This window comes from Homo sapiens, chromosome 3, assembly GCF_000001405.40.
Source record: "Homo sapiens chromosome 3, GRCh38.p14 Primary Assembly".
NCBI lineage: Eukaryota > Metazoa > Chordata > Mammalia > Primates > Hominidae > Homo > Homo sapiens.
The window spans coordinates 128,045,578-128,073,032 of NC_000003.12; the positions used below are offsets into that span (position 1 = coordinate 128,045,578).

The 27,455-nt window shown below is 46.0% G+C and overlaps 2 protein-coding genes and 1 long non-coding RNA gene across 12 annotated transcripts in view, besides 7 other annotated features; 1 reads left to right on the forward strand and 2 right to left on the reverse strand.

The window, feature by feature from the left end:
* LOC102723759 (uncharacterized) overlaps positions 1-6,598 on the reverse strand; it is a 20,181-nt gene extending 13,583 nt beyond the window's left edge. For 3 of the 4 annotated variants that reach the window (XR_007096073.1, XR_001740900.2, XR_007096074.1), the window contains exon 1: positions 6,385-6,598. This is a non-coding gene — a long non-coding RNA (uncharacterized LOC102723759). Of the gene's footprint in view, positions 1-4,622; positions 5,760-6,384 lie in introns of those variants that run through there. The other variant, XR_007096072.1, reaches the window with a different exon arrangement.
* On the forward strand, positions 6,064-26,106 carry SEC61A1 (SEC61 translocon subunit alpha 1). 3 transcript variants are annotated; one of them, NM_001400328.1, is made up of 12 exons: positions 6,064-6,333; positions 7,258-7,325; positions 9,939-10,004; positions 10,096-10,174; positions 11,132-11,263; positions 14,525-14,634; positions 14,931-15,084; positions 19,300-19,460; positions 21,377-21,574; positions 21,844-22,035; positions 22,406-22,482; positions 23,899-26,106. In NM_001400328.1, exons 1-12 carry the CDS (start codon positions 6,309-6,311, stop codon positions 24,083-24,085), a joined length of 1,449 nt encoding a protein of 482 aa, NP_001387257.1. In that variant the 5' UTR covers positions 6,064-6,308; the 3' UTR covers positions 24,086-26,106. The 3 variants fall into 3 exon arrangements, with proteins under 3 accessions (NP_001387257.1, NP_037468.1, NP_001387258.1); NM_013336.4 differs by lacking the exon at positions 6,064-6,333 and adding an exon at positions 6,860-6,982; NM_001400329.1 differs by lacking the exons at positions 6,064-6,333; positions 7,258-7,325 and adding an exon at positions 6,860-6,982.
* Positions 6,425-7,041: a transcriptional cis regulatory region, noted in NCBI's record as "promoter|chr3:127770845-127771461 region (GRCh37/hg19 assembly coordinates) targeted for CRISPR interference". NCBI's record gives its function as "negatively regulates RPN1 gene expression in K562 cells {active_cell/tissue: K562}" and the evidence as "EXISTENCE:mutant phenotype evidence [ECO:0000015][PMID:31784727]".
* Positions 6,425-7,173: a biological region, named in NCBI's record as "CRISPRi-FlowFISH-validated RPN1 regulatory element 1". NCBI's record gives its function as "regulatory_interactions: RPN1".
* Positions 6,534-7,173: a silencer, noted in NCBI's record as "silent region_14698". NCBI's record gives its function as "represses an Ori minimal core promoter by ATAC-STARR-seq in GM12878 lymphoblastoid cells {active_cell/tissue: GM12878}" and the evidence as "EXISTENCE:reporter gene assay evidence [ECO:0000049][PMID:35858748]".
* The window catches only part of RUVBL1 (RuvB like AAA ATPase 1), an 89,130-nt gene continuing 80,882 nt past the window's right edge, over positions 19,208-27,455 (reverse strand). For all 5 annotated transcript variants that reach the window (NM_001319086.1, XM_017007357.3, XM_011513249.4 and 2 more), the window contains one exon: positions 19,208-19,643. In NM_001319086.1, coding sequence (NP_001306015.1) covers positions 19,635-19,643 — 9 coding nt within the window. In that variant the 3' untranslated portion in view covers positions 19,208-19,634. The remainder of the gene's footprint in view (positions 19,644-27,455) is intronic.
* Positions 22,609-22,903: an enhancer, noted in NCBI's record as "tiled region #9818; K562 Activating DNase unmatched - State 14:Gen5'". NCBI's record gives its function as "activates a minimal TATA promoter and a strong SV40 promoter by Sharpr-MPRA in K562 cells {active_cell/tissue: K562}" and the evidence as "EXISTENCE:reporter gene assay evidence [ECO:0000049][PMID:27701403]".
* Positions 22,609-22,923: a biological region, named in NCBI's record as "Sharpr-MPRA regulatory regions 9818 and 11773".
* Positions 22,629-22,923: a silencer, noted in NCBI's record as "tiled region #11773; HepG2 Repressive DNase matched - State 25:Art". NCBI's record gives its function as "represses a minimal TATA promoter and a strong SV40 promoter by Sharpr-MPRA in HepG2 cells {active_cell/tissue: HepG2}" and the evidence as "EXISTENCE:reporter gene assay evidence [ECO:0000049][PMID:27701403]".
* Positions 22,629-22,923: an enhancer, noted in NCBI's record as "tiled region #11773; K562 Activating DNase unmatched - State 14:Gen5'". NCBI's record gives its function as "activates a minimal TATA promoter and a strong SV40 promoter by Sharpr-MPRA in K562 cells {active_cell/tissue: K562}" and the evidence as "EXISTENCE:reporter gene assay evidence [ECO:0000049][PMID:27701403]".

Sequence of the window (27,455 nt, forward strand, 5' to 3'; positions counted from 1 at the left end):
GGATGTGTGTAAGTTATAACCAAATACTACACCATTTTATATCAGGGACTTGAGCATCCACAGATTTTGATATCTGCAGAGGGTGGGGATGCTAGGGTTGGGGGGTCCTGGAACCAACATCCCACGGATACCAAGGGTCGACTGTATGCATCTCCTACTACTGGTTCTGTTTCTGTGGTAGAACCCTGACTGACACAATCTGCCATGCCCTGGATGTTTCTTGGGTATTCTCTGATCTCCAGAATGGGAAAAGCCTCCTGAATTCTTCCCTGGGAGTCAGGCCTGCCTGGCTTCCTTTTCTTTTTTTCCTCCTGGAGAGCTTCTATCTCAGAAATCTGGAAGGCCTCTATCTCTGAAGGGCACCATTTTCCTTCATCTGTCTAGCTCGTCATGCATTTGCTAGATATTAACAACTGTAATGAAGCCTAGCTTCTCCAATGATAGCTTTATTGCTAGCCTTACTCTTTGTTTTAGCCATAGGGAGCTATCTCTGTCCAATCCCAGAAATTTACCATATTCCCTCCCCTTTCTCCTTCTCAAGTCCCACTTTCTCTTCACCACCTGTTAGACAGACTGAGAGCTGTCTCCCAATACCCATTCTCCCCTTGTTCCATGGCAGTAGCCAGCCCATGACTTTACAGGATAAAGACTAGATTTTTCAAACTCCTTTTCAGATAAGTGCAACTAGGTTATAGCCAAAGGAATAGAATAGATGCAATGTGTCCAACTTCCAGGTTGTGCATTAACAGAAGGGCAGTCCCACCTCTCCCTTTTCTTTCATCTTCCAAATGGCCAAAATATAGACACAATGATGGGCCATACTGGATTTTGTGGGCCACAGCACCACCCAAAAGGGAGTGGAGAAATAAGAGAGAGCAAGCTTCAGACCTATACTGCTACCTGGACTTCCATCTGGTTTATGATACTGATTTGTTTTTTTTGTTTTTTTTTTTTAATCTGCAGCAACGGCTAATTTTTTTTTTTTTTTTTTTTTTTTTTTTGAGATGGAGTCTCGCGCTGTTGCCCAGGCTGGAGTGCAGTGGCGCAATCTTGGCTCGCTGCAACCTCTGCCTCCCAGGTTCAAGCGATTCTCCTGCCTCAGCCTCCTGAGTAGCTGGGATTACAAGTGCGTGCCACCACGCCCGGCTAATTTTTGGTCTCCAACTCTGACCTCATATCTGCCCGCTTCAGCCTCCCAAAATGCTGGGGTTACAGGCGTGAGCCACCGTGCCCAGCTAACAGCCGGATTTATATCCTAACCAACACACCAACTGGCCAAAAGAATAACCAGCTCCCCCAACCCGCTGTCTTCCCCAACCTAATTATTATATCGGATTGTCTTGTTACCTGGCTGTTCCTCCTCCTTCCCACCCTTAAATATGGTTGACCCCCTCTCCCACTGGGTCTCTCCTTGAATCTGGTCTCTCTATGCTTTCTCCCTTAGAAATCTCATCCACTCTCATGGAAAACGACTTAACATGCTTCTAATCCTAACTCATTTCTGAGCACCAGGTCTGCTTATTGGACTTCTCATTGATCAATTTCCAGTACCTCAAACTCTGCATGTTTAAAATAAAATTCACTTTCCTCTCTCTCACACACACACACAAACACACACACACACACTCACCATGGGGGTAAGTAGGCAACCTGTTCTCGATTTCCTTATTTAGGTAAATGAAATAAATGACACCCCCATCCTGCCAAGAACCCAGGCTTAAAACTACAGCAGAGGCCACAAATTCAAATGCTTAGAGACCAGGCAAGAGGCAAGGGACAAGTGGTAACTGTGGGGAGCCAAAGAGCTGCTGACCAATCTTAAAAAAGCAGCCACAACTTACTGATTTCTGGCATGTAGGAATATTAGCCTAGTGCTGTCGGGTCTTCTGATCTTCCAAGAGAAGTAAAAAATCTAGATTTTATGTTTTATGTGATCTCTCTAGATTTTACAAACAAAACAAGAAGTCATCTTGAACTGGTCAATATGTAAATCAAAAATTTAAAAACATATCTCCTATTTCTAAATAAATATCATAAAATGACAATGTAACTTGCAGCAAAAATAATTTGACAGATCTTTCTAGTATGTCTAAATCATTTCTTGGTTTTTGGAAGTTATGAATCTTTTGATACAGTTGTCACTAGATTTTGCCCCTGTATGGAGTGATGATTTGACATAGGAAGCAACATCAAATTGTTCCAACAACTTCCTCATTAAATGGATAATCATTAAATGAATTAAGCAGAGAATTTCCTTAACATCAATGATACTGTTTTTAGTGTTGAATCCTCAGTTTCTTATTAATAGCAATTAAATTTAAACATTTTATAGACTATAATAAAGTCTAAGAACATACAGAACTGATTCAATATCTGTTATTGACTAAGTCACACAAATCACTTATTGAAATATCTTTTAACTTACTGGCTTATTCACTATGTTCTGTTCACTCTCAATTCACGGAGCTTCACAAACCAGGGGGCTTTATTTCAAGATTCAAAAAATTGAAAGGGCTTAAAAGTTTATTACATTTTTCACTTTTGTCACCAAATACATTGATTTATTAGAAAAGCCAATAATTTTTCTCTTGGAATTGATACTTCACTTTTTTTTTCAAACAGGATACCTATTTTTTCTTATCCATAATAACTTCCACTTGTTTCAAACTTCCCTTTGTTTACATATGTCCAACTGCTTTACAGTTTATTGAAATAATGTCAGCTCTAATAGCTAAAATATGTTTTCTTATAAAGCTAAAATAAATACTGCTGGGCACGGTGGCTCACGCCTATAATCCCAGCACTTTGGGAGGCAGAAGTGGGCAGATCACTTGAGGTCAGAAGTTTGAGACCAGCCTGGCCAACATGGCAAAACTCCATCTCTACTAAAAATACAAAAATTAGCCAGGTGTGGTGGCGCACGCCTGTAATTCCAGCTACTTGGAAGGCTGAGGCAGGAGAATCACTTAAACTCAGGAGATGGAGGTTGCAGTGAGCTGAGATCGCGCCACTGCACTCCAGCCTGGGCAACAGAGCGAGACTTCATCTCAAAACAAAACAAAAAAACTCTAAATACTGACATCTCCATTAAAATATCATTTATTAAGGCCCAAACTCTTTAAAATATATTTTTCAAACAGCCACTGCATTTGTTTCCATTACAGTGAACATACAGAACTTACTGACTTCCACCACAGCGGGTATATAGCTCAGGGGTAGAGCATTTGAATGCAGAACTTACCGACTTCCACATTGCTTTTGCAGATCTAGCACTGCAGGCTTGTCCATCAAGGTTCAATTTGCATTACTTAATGTAGTTATTTCTGCTACTTGGTGTGTGGTAGTAAATATAGTTTATCAAGAAAAGCATGAGTTCCCTGACTTGTATTGGTTTATCCAAAATTAAATTTGATAATTTAGTGCCAAATTAAAACATCCACATTTTTCCTAAACTTTTGGCTGAAACTCCATACTCTCTCTAGAATTACATTAGCATTTTTTGTATAAAATCCAATGACAATTTTCTTATTTGGTACAATATTCCAATTACATCTTTATGGAACTATATCTCAAATGTAATTCTTTCTTGTGTACTCATAATAAAGACAATACAGTGTACTAAATGTTTCCCAGTGTCATAAGATCAACAAAAACCATTATATTCAAAAACCTTTAAATTTGCATTTTAATTATTAAAACACATTCACATAAAAAAATGAAGCTTCTTAGATGATGATTTTAAATACACCTCTTTGATTTACATATTTTTCAAAAAGCTGTTTTCTCATTTGGGTACATCTGGTTTTTAACAGGTGGGTCCAGAATACAATGGCGTGTTCATATCAATATTAATCCTTTTGAAGTTCTAGTAAATGTGTGTGAAATGCTCAATTATACTTAACTATATAATAGTGCTAAAAATTCTGACAGTACCTTCTAAATCTTTTTTTTTTTTTTTTTTTTTTTTTGAGACAGAGTCTCGCTCTGTTGCCCAGGCTGGAGTGCAGTGATGAGATCTCGGTTTACTGCAACCTCCACCCCCCAGGGTTCTAGCCATTCTCATGTCTCAGCCTCCTGAGTAGTTGGGACTACAGGCACGCACCACCATGCTCAGCTAATTTTTTATTTTTAGTAGAGGCGAGATTTCACCATGTTGGCCAGGCTGGTCTCGAACTCCTGGCCTCAAGTGATCTGCCCACCTTGGCTTCCCAAAGTGCTGGGATTTCATGAGCCACCAAGCTTGGCCCTAAATCTTTTTGATTGCTTTATCCTCACTCTGATAACCTTTTTGGGAGTTCTAAGTTTTCAAATACTTAATTTATGAAACTGATTATATTCTTTTAAGTTCTTTTCTCATCGATAATCACAATTTTTCTTCACTTGCACAAGCTTTAAGAGCATTCTGATGAATATATGTTTAACACTTTGATCTTTTAACAATAGAACTTCTGAGCACTCAGTACCCAACATTTCTGTCACTAGCAATGTCAAATTTTTGGTTGAAAAAAATTATTTTTTCACTACAAAACTATAGATTTTATGTAATAAAGTTTATCTTATAAATTATAAATTTTATTTTGTGCTGATTCTTAAACAGTATCAAAAGAAGTTCCAGGCGGGGATTCATTATTATTACAAATTTCTTGTTTATTCTTCTGCAGATATCAAGATTTACATTTATCATACTTAAAAGTATTGAAAATTCATCCAGATTTTTGTGGTCTCTTTCATTCTAGGTGGATGTTTCTAATATCCTATAATAAAATCTTAAATGTATAAATATAAAACACTGCATACCTATTTTCCGAAGAATTAATGTATGTGCTTACAATAGAAATATTTTATTATTTTTTGAGACAGAGTCTCACTCTGTCGTCACCCAGGCTGAAGTGCAGTGGTGAGATCTCAGCTCACTGCAGCCTCGACCTCCCAGGCTCAAGGGATCCTCCCACCTCAGCCTTTCCAGTAGCTGGGACTACAGGCATGCGCCACCATGCCTAGCTAATTTTTTTCTGTATTTTTTTCTAGAGACAGGGTTTTGCCATGTTGCCCAGGCTGGTCTTGCACTCCTGGGCTCAAGTGATCCTCTTGCCTTGGCCTCCCGAAGTGCTGGGATTACTGGTGTGAGCCACTGCACCCAGTCCAATAAAAATATTTTAAACTAGTGATTCTCCTAAAGCAATCAGTGATTTAACACACGTAACTTGGCTGCAGTCCCTGCAGTGACACAGGCCAGATTGTGTCATAATGTGGAAACAACAGGAGGCCTGTTATCAATGGTACTGACATCCTACAACTATTAGCACAAACCAATGAGTTTATATTAAAATTTCTATTAACTAATTGTAATATTTATTGTAATTACTATACTATTTACCCTCGAAATATTTCAACATTTTAACCATCAATATGGTGCAGGGTGCATAATGGCTAAATATCGGATCTAGTCTATATGCTGAACTTAGTCCAGGGGCTGCCAGTTTTAGCTTCAGGCCAAAACTCCAGAAGAGATCATCAGTGGGTCCTGGAAGTGAAGATGGGTTGCATTTCAGACTCTGAATAAAGAGTCAATGTCTTCTTTTTCCCCTTTTTGGTGGGGGATGGATATCAAGTGATGTCACACCTAGACCACTTCACTGAAGTTACCTGCCTGTTCCCAGTAGTCCTTTGAATTTTCCACCAGTGGGTTTGTATTCCAAAAAAGACTTCCTGTCCTGTCCAACTTTCTGAGCCAAGAATGTACAAAACCTGATTATCTGCTAGAAATGGGTGAGAATGGAAAAATCCAAATAGTTGACACCTAAATTAAAAGCAAAAAAGCATCTTGCCACATATGTACCCTCAACTTCTACCTGTCCTGGTCAAGGTTTAGCTCCATGAAACCTTGCCTGATCCCACAAGGCGTGCCCACCTCCTCCCTGCTAAATGCTCACAGCATTAAGTCTGTTTCTCTTAGATGACATCATACCTACTGACTACAGATGCCTGAAAGTAAATTCCAACCCCCAGCCCCAGCATCCCTTGCCCTACCCGTTATCCCCCTTTCCCACACCGATCTTAGGCAATCACACCGCCATGCTTTGCCCACAACAGTCTCCTCAACCTGTTCCCTCATTCCTTCTCGCCAGAATCTATCAAGGCTCGGCACAAAGGTACTCTCCCAGGAGGCCTTCCTGAATTCTTCTGTGAGGCAGACTACTTCCCGAGCTGCCCCGGCCCTTCTCCGGCCAAGTCTCTCCAGAAACTCATCCCATTCGTTCTCAGATGGAAGGGGACCCACACCCACGACAAGCCTCCGGGTTTGCTTAATGACTCAGACAGCGAGGGTGCTCGGTAAGCCCCACCAGCCCGCGCCCTACTCAGCAGGTAATGACGGAGACCTACTAGGTGACGGGCGCCGCGGTAGACGCTGGGATAAGGTCCCTGCTCCAGGGAGCTTACGGTCTATTCACTAACGTCAAAGAGCAGTGAGTGCTGTTACGTGTATGGGAGCCACCAGGGTCTCCGCCTGCCTGCAGGGCCACGCGCGCACTCGACGCTTCGCGCCTGCCTCAGTTTCTCCGTGAGGCCGCACAGCCCCAGTCTCGGGAGGCGTGACACACCCTCCCCGCGCGCTCTCGCGTTACCAAGTCTGCGCAGCCGCACACCCCCAGTCCCGGCGGGCCCCGCGCGCCAGGCCCCTTCCCGACAGGCCCCAGGAGCCCCGCTGCATGCCGGGGCTTGAGGTCTCGGCGAAGCGGCGCGGCGCGGCGAAGCGCGGCGGCCGGCGGGCGCGCGTGGCAGGAAGCGGAAGCGATCCGAGGCCCGGCCCCGGCCCCGCCCCGCGCCGCGCCGCGCCGCTTGCCGCCGGGCTAGCACTGACGTGTCTCTCGGCGGAGCTGCTGTGCAGTGGAACGCGCTGGGCCGCGGGCAGCGTCGCCTCACGCGGAGCAGAGCTGAGCTGAAGCGGGACCCGGAGCCCGAGCAGCCGCCGCCATGGCAAGTGAGTCCTGTAGGGAAGCCCTATTGAGGCCGGGACGGAACAGATCCCCCTTCCCCACACCCGTGCGGTCGGGCGCCCGCCGGCCAACCCTGACCGGCCCCCTGCAGAACGCGGCCCGTGCCCCCGGCCCTTCTCGAGTATCCCCACGCGTCCGGGGTGCGGCCGGCTCCCCTGGCCCCTGCTCTCACTCGTCGTGGGCAGAAGGCGTCCCTGGGTAGCGCGGAAGGTTACTTCTCTGTGTCCCAACTCTTCCTGTTTTGTTTCTCCCATCAAAGTCAAATTTCTGGAAGTCATCAAGCCCTTCTGTGTCATCCTGCCGGAAATTCAGAAGCCAGAGAGGAAGGTAAGTACCCCAAATCGCCAACAAAGAAGGTTTCAGGAAACTGTCTGGACTCTGGAAGTTTACAGTATGATTAAAAATGGCTTCAGCACGGCAATGGAAACTCTCCCTTCTCTTCCCTTGGAGTGTAGTTGTGCTCTGTTATTCCGGAGAGCTGTCGAAAGGTGACCTGGTTGTGTGGAAATTTCCACTGAAATCACTGTGCTTTATTTGGAGCATCTTTGGTGGATGTTGCTCCGAGAACAAAGCCTCCGGTTGCCCTGTCCCAAAAATGGATCCGGGCCATGAATGAATAAGGCCTCAGTTAGGATAGCAGATTGAGTTACCCTCCCTTTTTCACCTCCAACGGGAGCAGATCACGGGTTGGTTTTTTTTCCCAGGAGATGCCCTTTGTATCCAGCTGCTAAAGGGAAGGGCTGTCACTTTAGTATTTACAAATGATTTTGTACCTTTTATGTAGGCTGTCACAATAGGGGGAATAAAGGCTATTCTTTTGTGAAGTCTGCTGCTTTTCACAGACGGTGTATTAAAACAAGGAAAGATTAAATTTAGAGCTGTGCTGAATCAGAAATTGTGTGGAGTGAGTGTTGCCAGTGTAACTACAGCTGTCAACGAAAAAAAGTTTCATTAGGTTCCTAGGTTAGAGAGTGGGGAATAAAATGTTTGTGTCCTCACATTATTTTTCAAACTGTTGTTAAAGCATTCACATGGACACTTGGGTGCTTGGAATCCACTTTCATTTTTTTACGTAAAATAGTTTCATATAAATGCCCATGTGCTGCTTTTAATGGACGAATTTGTAAAGCTTTACCCCCTCAATTCCAGTGTAGCGAAGGGGCATGGCTCTGGAGGCAGGCAAGCCTAGGTCCCACCCTTTACATAGCACCTTAATAGCTATGTGACCTTGGCCTTGTAACTCAGTGTGGTAGACGGAACAAGGGAAATACGTGCAAGGTATAGCAGTGGCTCAGGAAGGGATTAACTCTGGGAGACATGATGTCTTATGGTGGTTTTGAAGGAGAAATAGAAGTCTCCTTGAAGGGACGGAAAGGAATTCCAAATAAAAGGAGTATATAGTTTGCAAAGGCATTGGTGACAAGAGTGTAGCATGTTTGGATGGGAGGTTATTAGATGTAGTTGCTATTGATAGAACATAATTGTAGGTGGGGAACATTAGGAGATGAATAACAAGGGCCAGACATGAGAATGTCACTTTGGAAGAAAAGGAGAGGACTAGAGTTGGTTTAGAGGCTTTTCACATCAGAGGATGAACTGTGGTACTGAGCAAGAATGGATTTAGGGGCTACTAAGAAGCAGAGGAGACAGGACTTGGATAAAGAGCTTTTGGGGTTTTGATGTTAAATTTGATTGTAACCAGGAGAGAGGACTTGGTGATTAGAAAGGGAGTTTTGAAAAAATTGTCTGCTCTTTGTTTCCCATCAAGATTCATTTCAGACAGGTTACTCTGAAATGGCGTTGCCTTCTCTTGGCCACTTTCTAATTTCTTAGTGTGGTGGGATGGTAGGTGGGAAGAGGACCATTCTCAAGAGAAGAAGAGTCCTGTGAATGCCCCCAGCTTTGGATGGAGTATCTGAACACTGATTCACCCACTGTTGTGTGGCCGTATGACTGTGTCCTACTTTGCCTGCATGTATAGTTAGAGGACTGTGACTCCAGTTCTGGCCAGAGGGCCAGGAATGCTGACTCAGTGCCTGCCTAGAAGTGTTTTTAAAGAACACAGTTTTGTCACTTAATACTGTCAGTCTCTCACAAGGTATTTCAACCTCAGAATCTTCCGTCTGTACAATAATTAATGTTTGTTAAGCCCTCTAAAGCCATTAATGTAGTGTAGGCAGCAGGTATTAGTGAAGACACTCAGTTTCAGAGGCAGAAAACCTGGAAGAGTTCCCACTCTACTCTTTAGTGACAGAGGTTTTGGGTGGGAGGTTTTCTAATGATACTTAATACTTAATAGTCATCTTTACAGTGATTCTTGTCACCTATGCAACCTATGTACCTGAGAAGATGTGAAAATCCTTAAACAAATGTTACTAGTAGGTTAAACATGCAACTCTCCTGCCCTTCCCCAATATGGTTTATTACACTGTTTTACCCTTAATTCATAGAAAATACACTATTGAGCAATTCCAAATTACTTGACTCTAGAATAACAAGGTTTTGTGACTGAAACTCAAATGAAAAGTGGTTGCTCGTGTGTTTTACAAGTCATGTTCTATTGTGACATTCTTTGTTCTTGAGTCTTAACTGTTAATGCTAATGGTTAAAAGCACAGTTTGGGACTCAAACTCACTTTAGCATTGGGGTTTGGTACAAATTATTTAGCTCTTCTAAGGCTCAGTTGTAAAATAAAGGTAATGCTCTGTGGTGTGAGGTGAGCTGGGGTGATGCCTGTAGGTCCTTGCATTGTGCTCTGTGCAGAGGAAGTTACGCAGTACATGGTACTTATGTTTGGTACATGGTTTGGCTTCTCTGCTGAACAGAGAAAAGAGTCTGGTTGGAGTCCATTTTTAGAGAAAGGGGTCTGATTGGAGTCCATTTTTATTAATTTGCTTTTCAAAGTAACTCCCTGCTTCAATTCATTCTCTCCTACTCTAGATTCAGTTTAAGGAGAAAGTGCTGTGGACCGCTATCACCCTCTTTATCTTCTTAGTGTGCTGCCAGGTAAGCTCAGGCTTGTATTTCGTATTGGGGAGGGGGATAAGAGTGGCTGGAAACAGGAGTGCTGACTGTTTTGCTCTTTGCCTGTTCCCAGATTCCCCTGTTTGGGATCATGTCTTCAGATTCAGCTGACCCTTTCTATTGGATGAGAGTGATTCTAGCCTCTAACAGAGGTAGGACTCTGGCTCTGTCTTTTCTCTGTAGAGTGTAGGCTTACCTAGCTTCACTTAGTTAAATTAATAGGCTTTGGCTTTATATGGAACTTAGAGAGTGACTTGGAAAATAGAGTGAAGAATGTTAAAGTGCTGTGTTGAATAGCCTTATTAAATGCTGAGTTCAGCACCAAGGCATACCATCATATTTGGAATTGTATTTGAATGCAGTACAAAACCTGTAATGAGAAGATAAGTCTATGCTATAGAGAGAATAAAAAACATGGAAAAACTAGAATACTTTTTGAATACCTGAAATGATGACATTTCCATTGATAACATTCTTCAGAATATGTAATTTGTTTTTCAGCTGTATCTTTTTCATATCTATAGGTTACATATAGTGTCAAAAAATATGTAACAGTGTTTTATATCCTCTAACCAGTTACTTATGGGACTGGGGAGGATTCTGAATGTGTAGGTTGATACTGCATTTGATTAACTCATTTAAAAAATATAGTTCAATTAAATTCCAAATCAGTTGGAAGTGTAGCTCATTTTAACATAATGGGAAGTAGAGGCTTATTCACAACTAGATACAATTGTACAGGCTCCTTTTCCAGACTCTGGAAATTATTTGAATGTTATCCTTTTTTTATTAACTGATGAAGAGACGAACATTTCTTATCTCTAAAACCAGAATGAATCTGTTTATGGTGAATTTAAATGCAGCAGTCTGTTTAGACACCATGTGACTTCCTAAACAGAATAAGCTGTTGCCTGGCAGGCTGAACAGAATGAATTGAATTATATACTAATCGTTGATATTTTGGGGTTCTAAATTAAACACAGCTAGGAAACTGAAACACATTGGTTTTATATAAGGGGTACCCAGTCAAATTTTGCGTATTCATTTTTAAAATAACGTACTACGTTTCCAAGCTGATATTGACTGTTTTGCTTCCCCGTTTCCTCAAGGCACATTGATGGAGCTAGGGATCTCTCCTATTGTCACGTCTGGCCTTATAATGCAACTCTTGGCTGGCGCCAAGATAATTGAAGTTGGTGACACCCCAAAAGACCGAGCTCTCTTCAACGGAGCCCAAAAGTGTAAGAAAGATTGTGAATAATCTGATGTCTATAGTTGGAAAATTTGAATTTGCTATAAGATTTTGGTATCAGTTTTTCTTTTTTTATTTATTTTTTATTTTTTTTTTTTTTTTTGAGATGGAGTCTTACTCTGTTGCCCAGGCTGGAGTGCAGTGACGCAGTCTTGGCTCACTGCAACCTCCACCTCCCAGGTTCAAGCAATTCTGCCTCAGCTTCCCGAGTAGCTGGGATTACAGGCACGTGCCACCACACCCAGCTAATTTTTGTATTTTTAGTGGAGACGGGATTTCACTACATAGGCCATGCTGGTCTTGAACTCCTGATCTTGTGATCCACCCGCCTCGGCCTCCCAAAGTGCTGGGATTATAGGCGTGAGCCACCATGCCCAGCCCAAACAGTATTTTCTTTTGTGCTGCAACCTCCTTGGCCTGCCAACCCTGCAGGAGCTCCATGCCCTGTGTTAGCGTGAGAGAGCACTTCTGGTAGAGCAGAGGTGGTGGGTGCTGGGGATGGGCTGGGCAAGGCAGGGGAGAGTGTCTGGAGTGCCCCTGAGGCCATGTAATGGAGGAGAAGGATCAGAGCTTGGAGGTCTTAGCACCCTTGGCCACCATTTCATTATTGCTTAAAAGGAAGTAATGGCTACTTCAGAGCTGTCATAAGGATTAAATAATCACTGTCACAATGCCTGGCACATAGTAGTTATTTGGCAAGTGTTTTATAAAAGAATTTAACTGACTGGGGGGCGGTGGCTCACGCCTGTAACCCCCAGCACTTTGGGAGGCTGAGGCGGGCGGATCATCTGAGGTCAGGAGTTTGAGACCAACCTGGCCAACATGGTGAAACCCCATCTCTACTAAAAAAATACAAAAATTAGCCAGGCGTGGTGACAAGGTGCCTTAATCCCAGCTACTTGAGAGGCAGAGGCAGGAGAATTGTTTGAACCCAGGAGGCAGAGGTTGCAGTGAGCCGAGATAAAGCCATTGCACTCAAACATGGGGGACAGAGCAAGACTTCTCTCAAAAAAAAAAAAGAATTTAACTGAAGAAAAGGTGATCCTGTCAGTCCAGCTGTATAATTTACCAGCTCTGTGATCTGGGGAAAAGTTAGATGATAGCTCTTATGTTTCACTTTCTTCATCTGTAAAAATGGGGATAATAATGGTATTTGCCTCATATCTAATAAGTGTTACTAGTAACAATTACTAGTCATCAAAATTAGCCATATTTAGCCTCTGTTTGCTGAAAAACATTAATTAGGAAATGATATTTACAGTCTCCTATCCAGTCATCTTTTCGCCTACACCAGCATGTTTTACAGGTCTTAAATTAGTATGGTGGATAATTGAATGAGAAATACGTCTATTTTTTTTTTTTTTTTTTTTTTTTTGAGACGGAGTCTCACTCTGTCGCCCAGGCTGGAGTGCAGTGGCGTGATCTTGGTTCACTGCAAGCTCCGCTTCCTGGGTTCAAGCCATTCTCCTGCCTCAGCCTCCCAAGTAGCTGGGACTACAGGTGCCCGCCACCACGCCCAGCTAATTTTTTGTATTTTTAGTAAAGACGGGGTTTCACTGTGTTAGTCAGGATGGTCTCAGTCTCGATCTCCTGACTTCGTGATCCGCCCGCCTCAGGCTCCCAAAGTGCTGGGATTACAGGCGTGAGCCACAGCGCCCAGCCAAGAAATACATCTATTTAAACTTGTCAGTTTTAGATAAAAATTAGGATTCTAAAATACACACATGTGGCTGGGAGCGGTGGCTCATACTTGTATCCCAGCACTTTGGGAGGCCAAGGCAGGATGATTGCTTGAGGCCAGGAGTTCGTGACTAGCCTGGGTAACACAGTGAGAGAGACCCCATCTCTACAAAACAACAACAACAAATTAGCCAAGTGTGGTGATGCACCTGTAGTTCTAGCTACTAGGGAGGCTGAGGTGGGAGGATCACTTAAGCCCAGGAGTTTGAGGCTGCTAGTGCACCACTGCACTCCTGCCCGGGCAACAGAGCCTGTCTCTTAAAACAAAACAAAAAACACTAAGAAAACAAAAAAAGTACAAGCACAAATTGGCTGTTTTCTCTTTGGTCTTCACAATGTTTTGAATGTTTTCCTGCATTAAGAACTAATTGTTGTGGAGCACTTTTTAAAAAGTCAAATAGGGACTGTATTTGATGGCCACTTTGGAGTAAAATTAATTTTACATGACAGATTAAATAGGAAAGCTGAAACTGAAGGTCAGACTGTACTTAGAGGACCCATCTAGTACTGTGGAACTTGTCAAATGTGTCCATTCCCTTGTGCCTAACAGTGAAATAGAGTGAGTTGTAAGAAATGAAGACACCCTACAAAAAGGAAAGCTTTTGCCAGGCGTGGCTCATGTCTGTAATCCCCGCACTTTGGGAGGCTGAGGTGGGTGGATCACGAGGTCAGGAGTTGGAGACCATCCTGGCTAACACAGTGAAACCCTGTCTACACTAAAAATACAAAAAATTAGCTGGCTGTGGTGGCACGTGCCTGTAATCCTAGCTACTCCAGAGGCTGAGGCAGGAAAATCGCTTGAACCTGGGAGGTGGAGGTTGCAGTGAGCCAAGATCATGCCACCGTACTCCAGCCTGGGCGACAGAGACTCCGTCTCAAAAAAAAAAAAAAGGAAAGCTTCTATTAGACCAAAATAGCTTGGTACCTAAGGGAATGGGAAGAGCAGCCAAATCAATGGTACGTGGGGTTTTCCTTTTAAAAGCACATTAAATAAAAACTTGAGAAGGGATCACTTTACCCCAGAGCTAATAATTCTGTCCTCTGGACCCAGACCTGGATGGTGAGCCTAGAGAGGTGGCCCAAATCTGTAGTTCAGCTCTTGAGCCATCGAGACCCCAAGTGCCTGACATTGAGTTTGGGTGCTGCAGGTGTGACATCTCCAGATTGTGTCTCCGGATGCTGTCAGGAGTAGGTTCTACTCCCTGATTTTCTTTGAATAGAACAAATTTTCCAAGTTTCACTTTTACTCCTCCCATGACTAAAAAGCAAGTGAATCTAGGAAAAGGTAAAACTAAAGAAGAAGTGTGCTTTTGTTAAAAGGCTTTTGATTCATCATGTACTTTGCTGATGTGATGGTTTAGCGCGTTCTCAGCCGAGCCCCTTGGAGGTAGTATCACTGCTCTTCATCTTTGTTCTCCCCCGTGCCTGGCGTTGAATTGGTGTTTCTTAATTGTTTCTTTTGTTCTGTGTAGTGACCCACTTGGAAAACACTTCTTTCTTTCAATTCTAGTATTTGGCATGATCATTACTATCGGCCAGTCTATCGTGTATGTGATGACCGGGATGTATGGGGACCCTTCTGAAATGGGTGCTGGAATTTGCCTGCTAATCACCATTCAGGTAATTATTATGCTAACATCTCCCTTTGAGTAGCCCCTCACACTTACCTACAATTCTCACATAACGAATCTCAAGCACACCTAAAAGGAACTCCTACTGAAAGGAAGCAGAAGCCTAAGACTCTGGGTTAGCCCTCTGAATTCAGCAGAGAAAGGCTTTACTGACCGCTCTCTGGGGCTGAGGATGTGATCTCATTCCGTCTTCAGCGTTTATATCAGAGAACCCAATTACTGAAGGACGGAACCATGTCCGTGGGGAGCAGTAACACATAGTCTTGTATTTTTGAATTTTTACAGCTCTTTGTTGCTGGCTTAATTGTCCTACTTTTGGATGAACTCCTGCAAAAAGGATATGGCCTTGGCTCTGGTATTTCTCTCTTCATTGCAACTAACATCTGTGAAACCATCGTATGGAAGGCATTCAGCCCCACTACTGTCAACACTGGCCGAGGTAAGGGCCCTGTGCTCCCCTGGTGGCGACAGCTTTCAGCAAAAACAATTGAGCAATGCAAAGCAGAAGACAAAAATCCCCCCATTCCACAGAAAAATAATGTCAGTTTTAGGTTTATCTCTTCTGGTGTTTGGGTCCATCTGCAAAGTTTTAAAAACACAAATAGGCTTGTAATTATGATGATACCTAACTTGCACTTTTCATATAAAAATATCTCCTGGACGTTTGGCACGTCAGAATACACAATCCTGCCTCACTTTTCTTAGCACAGTATAAGCTTATATTGCAACGATAAAGCAACGTTAAGTCATTTCCAGGTTTTTTTATCGTTAACATTGAAACCATGACTGTCCTCATATGTTCATCTTTGTATATTTTGGCAGCTGCTCTCAGTGAATAAGTTTCTAAAAATGAAATTCCTAAACCAAAGCACTTGGTCATGCAAGGGGCAGCTTTCTGAAAAAGGCCTGAACTTGGAGCTTAGCACCTGCGTTCAAATCCTGGCTGTTCCTGTTAGTCATACATACGTGGCTTTGGGCAGATTCCTGCACCACTGAATCTTGGTTACCAGGATGCAGTGAGAAGCAACATGAAATTACATGATGCCTGGCTCCTGGTAGATGTGTATCAAACATTGGCATGCTGTGCTACATCCACCAAGTGCCGTGGAAATCTTGTAACAGCATGTTTTTAATAAAAAGTTCAAAACATACAAGGGAAGCCTTAGAGAGTGTGACTTATTAGGGAAAGGAAATAAACATTTTTTGGCACTAAATATCTTCTTCACTGAGGAGCATTCCAGGAGAAATAATCATGCATATTTGAGAGTTTTCTTTTAATTGAATGTTGGAAACAGAGTCCTTGGCCTCCAGAGACCATATTATCTCATTAATGAGATGGAAAACTGGTCCCCAAACAAGTGAAGGCTGCATGTGCCTAACAGGTTACAAAGGAGAGTGGAGCTTGAGATAGGGAGCCATAGAGAAGAGTGGGCAAGATCACATTTGATGCTTCCTTGAGTACTTTGTATAAATTTAGGAAATCCAAGGTAAATTGGGAGAAGCAGGTCCAGAAGGCAAAGTTTGACAGGATGTGAAAAGGCAAGAGGGGGATGGCATTGTAGGAGTTCAGGTATTTGTCAAGACCATCATGGTGACTGGCTTTTGGGGAGTGCCTGAGTGGGAAGGAAGTAAAGTCAGAGGGGAGCCCCTGGTGGCTTAGCAGCCCAGTAGTAGCCGCCAGAGGCTCATGTTCCATTCTGCAGCAGGGCATTGAGTAATGGGAGCCAGAGTTTGGAAGAAGTGATTTGCTCTGCACTGAAAGGCAGAGAGAGCAGCTAGGTGCGTGCAGCAGTAATCCAGCCCCAATTAAGCCATCCTACAGGAGAGCACTGTGTGAGGGCATTTGGAGGAAGCAAGTTGAGAGAGGGGACCAGAGAGGCACTTTCAAGGTGGGGGAAAACTAAGAAGCAAAGGTGGATTTGTCTGGCCTTGAAGTCAGTGTGTCTACATGTCAGTTGCTCGTGTTTGGGACCTGGCTGACACGAGATGCATTCAGGAAGGGCTGTGCCCCATGGCCTGCATGTGGGCAGTGAGTGGTGCTAGAGGGAGAGCCTAGGGAGGGGCAGGGAGAGCCACACAGAGGGCACAGCTGGGACGGCAGCTTTGCAGCTGTGCCTGGAGATGTTGCAGCTTGGCTTGGGACAGGGGAGGCTGTTGAATGAGATTCTACAGGCAGAGACAGTAATCACTGCTGCTTCCCTGGGCAGCAGGAACAATGCAGAACTGGGAATTAGTCCCAAATTTGAAACCGTGGGGAAACAGGCCAGCCTTGTCACACAGGACCAAAAGGTGGAAAGGATGGGAATTGACGAAAGACCGCCACAGGGTGAGATGAGGACATGATGGCCAGTTAGGATATGGTGTCTCTTTCACAGAAGCCACAGCAGAGGAGGTCAGTGGTCATATTGGTTAGATGGTCTGCCTGACATGTCATCTCGGAATGGTCCAGGAAGATGTAGCAGGTGGTCCTAGCTATCACGTGTTAGAAACTTGGGAACAGTGCTTTTGAGTTCTTTAGTTTCACCTTTTCCTAGATTCACTTGCTTTTTAGTCATGGGAGGAGTAAAAGTGAAAGTTGGAAGATTTGTTCTATGAAAGGAAAATCAGGGAGCAGAACCTACTCCTGACAGCATCCAGAGACACAATCTGGAGATGTCACACCTGCAGCACCGAAACTCAATGTCAGGCACTTGGGGTCTGGATGGCTCCTGAGCTGAACTACAGATTTGGGCCACCTCTCTAGGCTCACCATCCAGATCTGGGTCCAGAGGACAGAATTATTACCTTTGGGTTAAAGTGATCCCTTCTCAAGTTTTTATTTAATGTGCTTTTAAAAGGCAAACCCCACATACCATCAGTTTGGTTACTCTTCCCATTCCCTCAGCTACCAAGTTATTTTGGTTGAATAGAAGCTTTCCTTTTTGTAGGGTGTCTTCATTTCTTACATCTCACTCTATTTCACTGTTAGGCACAAGGGAATGGACACATTTGACAAGTTCCACAGTACTAGATGGGTCCTCTAAGTACAGTCTGACCTTCAGTTTCAGCTTTCCTATTTAATCTGTCATGTAAAATTAATTGTACTCCAAAGTGGCCATCAAATACAGTCCCTATTTGACTTTTTGTTGTTGTTGAGACGGAGTCTTGCTCTGTCACCCAGGCTGGAGTGCATTGGCGCCATCTCGGCTCACTGCAACCTCCGCCTCCCGGGTTCAAGCAGTTCTCTGCCTCAGCCTCCTGAGTATGGGATTACAGGCGCCCGCCACCATGTTCGGCTAATTTTTTTGTATTATTAGTAGAGACAGGGTTTCACCATCTTGGCCAGGCTGGTCTTGAACTCCTGACCTTGTGATCCGCCCGCGTCAGTCTCCCAAAGTGCTGGGATTACAGGCGTGAGCCACCACGCCCGACTCCTATTTGACTTTTTTAAAAGTGCTCCTCAGAGTACTGATACCATGACCCCACACTGCCCACAGAGACCCTGTCTCTGGAAGTAATGCCAGCTTCCTGCCAGTAGAAGCAGCGTGAGTTGCCAGGCTTCCATTATGGGATGGTTATGCTGTCCTGGAACGGCAGAGGTTATCACTTGTTTCTTTTTTTCGCTTTTTAGTTTTTTAACGTAAGTAAATTTCTTGCTGATGTCTAAAACTTAGGCCTTAATAATGCACCACACTCCCCGCCTTCCTCTCACTTGTTACTCTGTTGTCTGGTTCTTAGATTGGGTCCCTTTCCTATATCCCTCAGTCCCTCAGTAAGCTCACTCCACCCCTAGGCCTGCCTCCCTCAGGAGCATCTCCTGGCAGGGTGTCATTTGGATGGGACCACATGGTGGACGCAAGCATATCCTCTGTACTTGTATCCTTGGTGTGAGAAGCAGAGAGCTGGAGCCTCCCCACTCACCAGCCAAGGGCAGCCTGCACTTCATAGCTGTTGAATGGGTACTTGTACTTCTCAAGATTGTCCAGGAAAGTAGATTTGCCAGCTCTGAGCCCCCTCTTCAGTGGATGACCCCTTTCAGCTAGAGTTCAGCAGAGTCTGCTTTTATTTTTATAAATTATCATCGTTCCACACCTCTGGTGGCCACTGACTCATGTGCCTAAGAAATGAGACCAATTAATTTTAAAAAGTGGAATAGTGGTTGGGTGCTGTGGCTCACACCTGTAATCCCAACACTTTGGGAGGGTGAGGCGGGAGGATTGCTTGAGGTCAGGAGTTCGAGACCAGACTGGGTAACATAGTGAGACCCCCAACTGTACAAAAATAAAAAATAAAAAATTAGCCAGGCGTGGTAGCATGCCTATAGTCCCAGCTATTCGGAAGTCTGAGATAGGATCACTTGAGCCCAGGAGGAGAAGGTTGAGGCTGCAGTGAGCTGCAACCACACCACTGCACTCTAGCCTAGGCAGCCGAGAGAGAGGGACCCTGTCTAAAAAAAATCAAAAACAAACCAGAATAGCCCGTTTCTGTAGTTTGAATTCTCTACAGAAGAGAAGGGAGGGATGAGAATAATACATGCTGTATCCCTGTGGCTATGGGCACCATGAGTCTAATAACTTAAGTTTGTTTTCCTCTTTTTATTTGTCTGCTAAGAAGGCTAGAAGCAAATTGAGTTGCCTGTTCGTTCCTTCATATATGTCTCCTCCTCTGCCAACAGGAATGGAATTTGAAGGTGCTATCATCGCACTTTTCCATCTGCTGGCCACACGCACAGACAAGGTCCGAGCCCTTCGGGAGGCGTTCTACCGCCAGAATCTTCCCAACCTCATGAATCTCATCGCCACCATCTTTGTCTTTGCAGTGGTCATCTATTTCCAGGTGTGTCCAGATCCAACCCCAGGGAGTTTCCATGGTCTGGATTTAAGTTTCAGAATGCCTTGTGTGCAGTCCCCCACTCTGTGGGGTGCACTGTCATCATATTGTGTTGAAACGATGAGATGGTATTTGAAGGCAGCAGGTTTCCAGATGAGCTGGACAAGCATGTTCATTGAGTCATGGGACCTGCCATTAACGAAACAAAATTAAGGCAGTTCTAACGTAAGTGAAATCATGTTCTTCTGGGTTGGGCCTATCGACAGGTAAGATACATTTTTAAGTTCTTAGTTCAAGAGAAGCAAAAAGTACTCTAGCTCTGAAACCTCATTGCTCTCTTATAGAAAGTTTGTATGATATTTATAGGTAACTTCTGCATCTCGGAAACGGCCTATCTTCTTAAGCTGTCTTACCTTTAAAAGTATTCCATCTCTTAAACTTGCTTCTGAGTAAGAGACCTGAACTGCTATTGTTTTCCTGTAATTGGATTGATCTTTGTATTTTTTGATGGTCCACTTTGTATTTTGGTGTTTATTTAAAAGAAGGGACAGAGATGAAAGGCAGTTTGATGTTTGTGAAAGGTATTTATACGAGCTACATGCTTTTCCCATTCCTTCTGCTGAGACTAAGCCACATTCTTGCTTAATAAAAAGCTATCTCTTTAGGGGCTTTGCCAGAATTTGCAGTCAGATCATTAAGAATTTTTTTTTTTTTTTTTTTTTTGAGACGGAGTCTTGCTCTGTTGCCCAGGCTGGAGTGCAGTGGCGCGATCTCGACTCGACTCACTGCAACCTCCGCCTCCCAGGTTCAAGCGATTCTCCTGCCTCAGCCTCCCGAGTAGATGGGATTACAGGTGCCTGTCACCACGCCCGGCTAATTTTTTTTTATTTTTAGTATAGACAGGGTTTCACCGTGTTAGCCAGGATGGTCTCGATCTCCTGACCTCGTGATCCGCCCGCCTCCACATTACAAAGCGCTGGGATTACAGGCGTGAGCCACCGCACCCGGCCTTAAGTATTTAATTTTTAAATCCTCTGTATTCCGAGCCCTGTTCTAGGTACTGGGAGCTCATAAAAATAAACCCTTTCTAGTCTCCAGGGGTTTCAGAGGGAGAAGTTGTATTCCTAGAAAAGTTTAGCTTTTCTGTTTATGATTAAAAACACTGTAAGGAACTATTATAAGGTGTGAGGCCACTGCTGTAGTGGCCCTGCCTCAGAGCCAGTGTAAAAGCTTAGGAAACATCACCAGCTAGAGAGAAGCGCCCTTGGGATTTGGGTGTGTGGCCTCCAGGCTTTTCTCCATATTCCACACAGATGTGGATGTAATGTGATAGGCTCTGTCTTTTGGAAAAAAAAAAAGTGGGGGTGGGGATCATTCCACCGTGCTTGCTTCCATGTTTTGTTTTGTGTGAGACAGGGTCTCGTTGTGTTGCTTAGGCTGGAATGCAGTGGCATGATCTCGGCTCACTGCAGCCTAGACCTCCCAGGCTCAAGTGATTGTCCCACCTCAGCCTCCTGAGTAGCTGGGACTACAGGCGCGCACCACCACACCCGGCCAGTTTTGTTTATTTTTTGTAGAGACGGAGTCTGACTGTGTTGCCCAGGCTGGTATCGAACTTCTGGGCTCAAGCAATTCTCCCACCTCGGCCTCCCAAAGTGCTGGGATTACAGGTGTAAGTCACCACGCCTAGCCTTCAGTGTATTTTTAAACCAGCTTTTCTGGGCCCCTTCTGGATGTGCCAAGTGCAGGAGTGCAGTGGTGGGTAAGGAGTGGGCACAAGCTCTCGGAACTGGGAGCCCCAGAACCAGCACACAGGATTTCCTCCCTTGTGGCCCACTGGACAGTCCCCGGCCGGGCTGTGTTTCTGTGCAGCAGGCTGAAATGAGGCAGTGAAGGGGATTTGGTTCTGTTTGGCTTCTCAGGGCTTCCGAGTGGACCTGCCAATCAAGTCGGCCCGCTACCGTGGCCAGTACAACACCTATCCCATCAAGCTCTTCTATACGTCCAACATCCCCATCATCCTGCAGTCTGCCCTGGTGTCCAACCTTTATGTCATCTCCCAAATGCTCTCAGCTCGCTTCAGTGGCAACTTGCTGGTCAGCCTGCTGGGCACCTGGTCGGTAAGTAGGCTCTTTGAAGATGAGCTAGCAATGCAGCTAAGTTGCAGTGGTTTCTATCAGTGTCTTGCTCATGAACAGATATTTCATCCAAAGATATTTTCCATTGTGCCTTTTACAAATTCAGCACATTAAATTATCTTTTCAGTAAAAAAATTGTACTGTGGGCACCGAGTAAAATTGCATTCTTTCATCTGCTCAGAACTATTTTTGCCTTGATGCTAAAGTAAAATGAAGGAGCACTCACATGCGTTTGGTTTCTTCTTCCCCAGGACACGTCTTCTGGGGGCCCAGCACGTGCTTATCCAGTTGGTGGCCTTTGCTATTACCTGTCCCCTCCAGAATCTTTTGGCTCCGTGTTAGAAGACCCGGTCCATGCAGTTGTATACATAGTGTTCATGCTGGGCTCCTGTGCATTCTTCTCCAAAACGTGGATTGAGGTCTCAGGTTCCTCTGCCAAAGATGTAAGTAGAAGCAAAACTTTCTGGAAGGGTGATGAAAGTGTGACTGGTATAAGGGGTGTGGACTTGTCACCTCATCATAAATAATGGTCTGTGACGTGTGCAGATAGATCGTCGTCCTTTAGGGGGCAGTTCAGAAGCTTTAAGGGCTGACAGATGGAGTCCAGCAGTAGATCAGCTGTGGGTATGAGAATCTGAATCCACACTGTAAAGTTAGACTTTTTCATATGACTTCCTTGCGGCAGTTTTAAAGTTCTCTGTATGAATATTGTCAGTGCTCGAAGAGGCGATCTGTAACTGTTCAGTACCACTTGGAATGCCTATTTCCCCTTCAGCCTCCAATTCCAACTTCTCCCCTGTGGGCACCCTGCAGGTTGCAAAGCAGCTGAAGGAGCAGCAGATGGTGATGAGAGGCCACCGAGAGACCTCCATGGTCCATGAACTCAACCGGTGAGTGGTGGCCCCAGGTCCCCAACCTCCCGTCTGTGGACATGTGTTGTTTCTTTCCATGCAGGGCATCCTGATAGGCCCTAGCACTTACTGGGTCACTAAATCTTATCCTTGGGTTACAGGACAGAATTAAATGTTATATATTTATAAACTTGCTAAGTGCTGGACACTGGAGACGTAAAAATAAACACTTACAGCCCCTTTCCTCCAGAGGGAGCCACTGGGTAAGGAGATGGAAGCATGTGGCCAGGCGGATAGGAGACAGTGCAGTAAGGGTCCTGAGAGCAACAGCTGTGACTGGCAGCGGGACCCTCACCCTGGCTCATGCCGGTGGGGTGCTGAAGAGAGCGCCCTGGAGGAGGGTCACTCTGAGCTCAGAGCAGGCAGGTCCTGGCATCTGAGCGCATTTTGGGGCCTGTGGTGGCATTAAGGCTAGAGAGGCTGGCAGTGGCTGGGCACGGAAGGGGTTGATGTGCATCTGAAGCAGGGCAGAAGGGATGGAGCCTGCAGTCTCTTAGGAAGGTCAGTGCTAATACATGAAACCACGCTAGAGAGGGAGAGGGGGAGGCCACATACCTGCCAGGCTGTGGTGAGAGTTTGGGCCAGAGGTGATGGTGCCAGATACAGCTGTACCCTTGGAGATGGAGCAGTTAGGTAAGGAAGGGCAAAGTCCAGGTGACCTTAGATGCTGCCACAGCACTCTTCAGTCTGCACAGTCCTCAGTACAACTACTCATCTCTTCCATCGTCACTCAGAAGCAGCCACAGACAGACAACAGACAAATGAGCATGGCCGTGTTCCTACAAAGCTGGCTACAAAGTCAGCTGCAGACCAGGTTGTCCTATGGGCCTTACCTAAAGGAAGCAACCACAGGAAAAGCCAGAATTGCAAACTTCAGATCATTTTCTAATCCCTAGCAGGGATGGTAGGCAATTTAGTTCATTCTCTTAATATTAAGCTGCTGGATTTACAGCACTGTGCAGTAGAAGTAGAATTCAAGTCACATGTAGTTTTTAAAATTTCTAGAAGTCACATTAAAAAAGTAAAAAGAAACAGGTGAAATTAAATTTAATATATTTAACCTAGTATATCCAAAGTATCATTTCAACATTATAATTAATGTTAAGAAAAACCATGATGAAATATTTTACATCCTTGTCTTCAAATCTCCAAAATCTTATGTGACATCTCAGTTTGGTCTAGTCACAGTCCCCTGGCCACGTGTGGCCAGTGTGGCCACTGCCTGGACAGCAGCGCCTTGGCCTAGAGCGCTAGCATGTTAGTAGATGACTTTCTAGGAGACAGCAGAGGGGCCTTTGAGGCATTAGGTCCCAAAGTCTCAGGTGAGCCTGTTGGCCGCCTGGCTCACGGGGAGCTCTGTGGGTGTCCAGGAGCTGACTGTGTCCCCTCCCCCAGGTACATCCCCACAGCCGCGGCCTTTGGTGGGCTGTGCATCGGGGCCCTCTCGGTCCTGGCTGACTTCCTAGGCGCCATTGGGTCTGGAACCGGGATCCTGCTCGCAGTCACAATCATCTACCAGTACTTTGAGATCTTCGTTAAGGAGCAAAGCGAGGTTGGCAGCATGGGGGCCCTGCTCTTCTGAGCCCGTCTCCCGGACAGGTTGAGGAAGCTGCTCCAGAAGCGCCTCGGAAGGGGAGCTCTCATCATGGCGCGTGCTGCTGCGGCATATGGACTTTTAATAATGTTTTTGAATTTCGTATTCTTTCATTCCACTGTGTAAAGTGCTAGACATTTTCCAATTTAAAATTTTGCTTTTTATCCTGGCACTGGCAAAAAGAACTGTGAAAGTGAAATTTTATTCAGCCGACTGCCAGAGAAGTGGGAATGGTATAGGATTGTCCCCAAGTGTCCATGTAACTTTTGTTTTAACCTTTGCACCTTCTCAGTGCTGTATGCGGCTGCAGCCGTCTCACCTGTTTCCCCACAAAGGGAATTTCTCACTCTGGTTGGAAGCACAAACACTGAAATGTCTACGTTTCATTTTGGCAGTAGGGTGTGAAGCTGGGAGCAGATCATGTATTTCCCGGAGACGTGGGACCTTGCTGGCATGTCTCCTTCACAATCAGGCGTGGGAATATCTGGCTTAGGACTGTTTCTCTCTAAGACACCATTGTTTTCCCTTATTTTAAAAGTGATTTTTTTAAGGACAGAACTTCTTCCAAAAGAGAGGGATGGCTTTCCCAGAAGACACTCCTGGCCATCTGTGGATTTGTCTGTGCACCTATTGGCTCTTCTAGCTGACTCTTCTGGTTGGGCTTAGAGTCTGCCTGTTTCTGCTAGCTCCGTGTTTAGTCCACTTGGGTCATCAGCTCTGCCAAGCTGAGCCTGGCCAAGCTAGGTGGACAGACCCTTGCAGTGATGTCCGTTTGTCCAGATTCTGCCAGTCATCACTGGACACGTCTCCTCGCAGCTGCCCTAGCAAGGGGAGACATTGTGGTAGCTATCAGACATGGACAGAAACTGACTTAGTGCTCACAAGCCCCTACACCTTCTGGGCTGAAGATCACCCAGCTGTGTTCAGAATTTTCTTACTGTGCTTAGGACTGCACGCAAGTGAGCAGACACCACCGACTTCCTTTCTGCGTCACCAGTGTCGTCAGCAGAGAGAGGACAGCACAGGCTCAAGGTTGGTAGTGAAGTCAGGTTCGGGGTGCATGGGCTGTGGTGGTGTTGATCAGTTGCTCCAGTGTTTGAAATAAGAAGACTCATGTTTATGTCTGGAATAAGTTCTGTTTGTGCTGACAGGTGGCCTAGGTCCTGGAGATGAGCACCCTCTCTCTGGCCTTTAGGGAGTCCCCTCTTAGGACAGGCACTGCCCAGCAGCAAGGGCAGCAGAGTTGGGTGCTAAGATCCTGAGGAGCTCGAGGTTTCGAGCTGGCTTTAGACATTGGTGGGACCAAGGATGTTTTGCAGGATGCCCTGATCCTAAGAAGGGGGCCTGGGGGTGCGTGCAGCCTGTCGGGGAGACCCCACTCTGACAGTGGGCACACGGCAGCCTGCAAAGCACAGGGCCACCGCCACAGCCCGGCAGAGGGGCACACTCTGGAGACCTTGCTGGCAGTGCTAGCCAGGAAACAGAGTGACCAAGGGACAAGAAGGGACTTGCCTAAAGCCACCCAGCAACTCAGCAGCAGAACCAAGATGGGCCCCAGGCTCCTCCATATGGCCCAGGGCTTACCACCCTATCACACGTGGCCTTGTCTAGACCCAGTCCTGAGCAGGGGAGAGGCTCTTGAGACCTGATGCCCTCCTACCCACATGGTTCTCCCACTGCCCTGTCTGCTCTGCTGCTACAGAGGGGCAGGGCCTCCCCCAGCCCACGCTTAGGAATGCTTGGCCTCTGGCAGGCAGGCAGCTGTACCCAAGCTGGTGGGCAGGGGGCTGGAAGGCACCAGGCCTCAGGAGGAGCCCCATAGTCCCGCCTGCAGCCTGTAACCATCGGCTGGGCCCTGCAAGGCCCACACTCACGCCCTGTGGGTGATGGTCACGGTGGGTGGGTGGGGGCTGACCCCAGCTTCCAGGGGACTGTCACTGTGGACGCCAAAATGGCATAACTGAGATAAGGTGAATAAGTGACAAATAAAGCCAGTTTTTTACAAGGTACTTGATCATGTTCTCTTGATTTTAAATTAGATTTTATTCCCAAAAAGGCCAGTGAGGCGCAAAGCTTGGTTGCAGCTTTGTGTGTGTCAAAGGCTTGGTTGGGGCACTCAGGCATTTTGCCTGGAAAAGTTCCCTTCTGATGGTCATGTCAACCTGGTGCTCACATTTGTGATAAAGTGATATGGGTGCTGGGCCACATGTGGAGCTGCTGCAGGGCTCTGCCCGTGAGGCAGAGTGCACTGGCTGTCCCGTGAGAATGCAGAGGCCTCCGCTGAGCCAGGGCGCCTGCCACCCCGTGGAAGAGTGGGAACCTTCTAGCAGGAGCCTAGGGCCCCATAACTCGAAGCCCTTTGAGCCTCAGCTCCAGTACCCAGCTGGTGATTGGAGAAGTCTTAACTTGGTTGTGAGGCTGGCCTCAGACCCGACCTGTAGCCAAGCCAGAAGGACCCAGTGTTGTGTGGGTGGGAGTGGCAGGCTTGTGGCTGCTCCCTTAGAACGTGTCTAGAAGTCTTTCTGTTTCTACACCAAGCCCCCAGTGGTAGGCCACATTTCCACTCTCCCCAGTCCTGGACAGGGCCTCACCCCAAACCTGCCGCCGTCCCCACCACCTGGGCCTGGTGCTTCCTCAGGAACTTGAGGGGCAGGTGGGTGGGCAACCCCAGGGCAGGCCTGACCAGGGCTGTGGGAGGTCGTTACTCCTTAGCTGGGCTCCAGCCTCAGTATTTCCTTGTAGTCTTAGACCTTGTCTTGGAAACTGATTTCCAAGGGGAGTTGGGTCAGAGCAGGATGGTTCCTCTGAGACCACCTGATGGACAGGTGTGGGCCTGGCCTTGCAGAAGCCACACCTCAGCACTGTGTTTTGAGACTGCTAGGACACATGTGCAGCCAGGTCTGCCCCGCGCTCCCTCTGCACCTGCTGGCCTCAGGGCTCAGGGAGGCCCTGGACAGGAGCACAGCACGTGGCCTCAGGCTCCAGACCAGCCAGGCGCTGTGAATTGCTGAGGCAGGCAGGGTGCTTGCCAGTATAAATATGTTAGAAAACCTGCTGCCCCAGGGAAGCAGTAGGCCATCTCTCGTGCCTCAGGTATTCGTTTGCACCTGTGGCCGTGGCCCCTCTTGCCTGAGAGCAAACGGAGCCCACATTCCAGCAGCCACGCACGCTTCAAGATGGCAGGCCCTGGTGTCTCTCCACCTGGCTCCTCCCCATGCACAGGGAACTAATGCACAGTGATGGGGGGGTAAGGCTTACTCTGCTTTTTCCCTTGGGGCAGGCACTGTCCCAGCCACTTCCTACATGTGCTCTCACTTCACCCCACTAGAGGCCCAGGAGGAAACAAGTCCGTCCATTT

Coding starts and splice junctions, on each gene's coding strand:
- SEC61A1 (NM_001400328.1), top strand. CDS start 6,309: ATGACTCAGACAGCGAGGGTGCTCG. Junction 10,175..11,131: donor GATTCTAGCCTCTAACAGAG/GTAGGACTCTGG, acceptor CGTTTCCTCAAG/GCACATTGATGGAGCTAGGG. Junction 21,575..21,843: donor GCCTGCTGGGCACCTGGTCG/GTAAGTAGGCTC, acceptor CTTCTTCCCCAG/GACACGTCTTCTGGGGGCCC.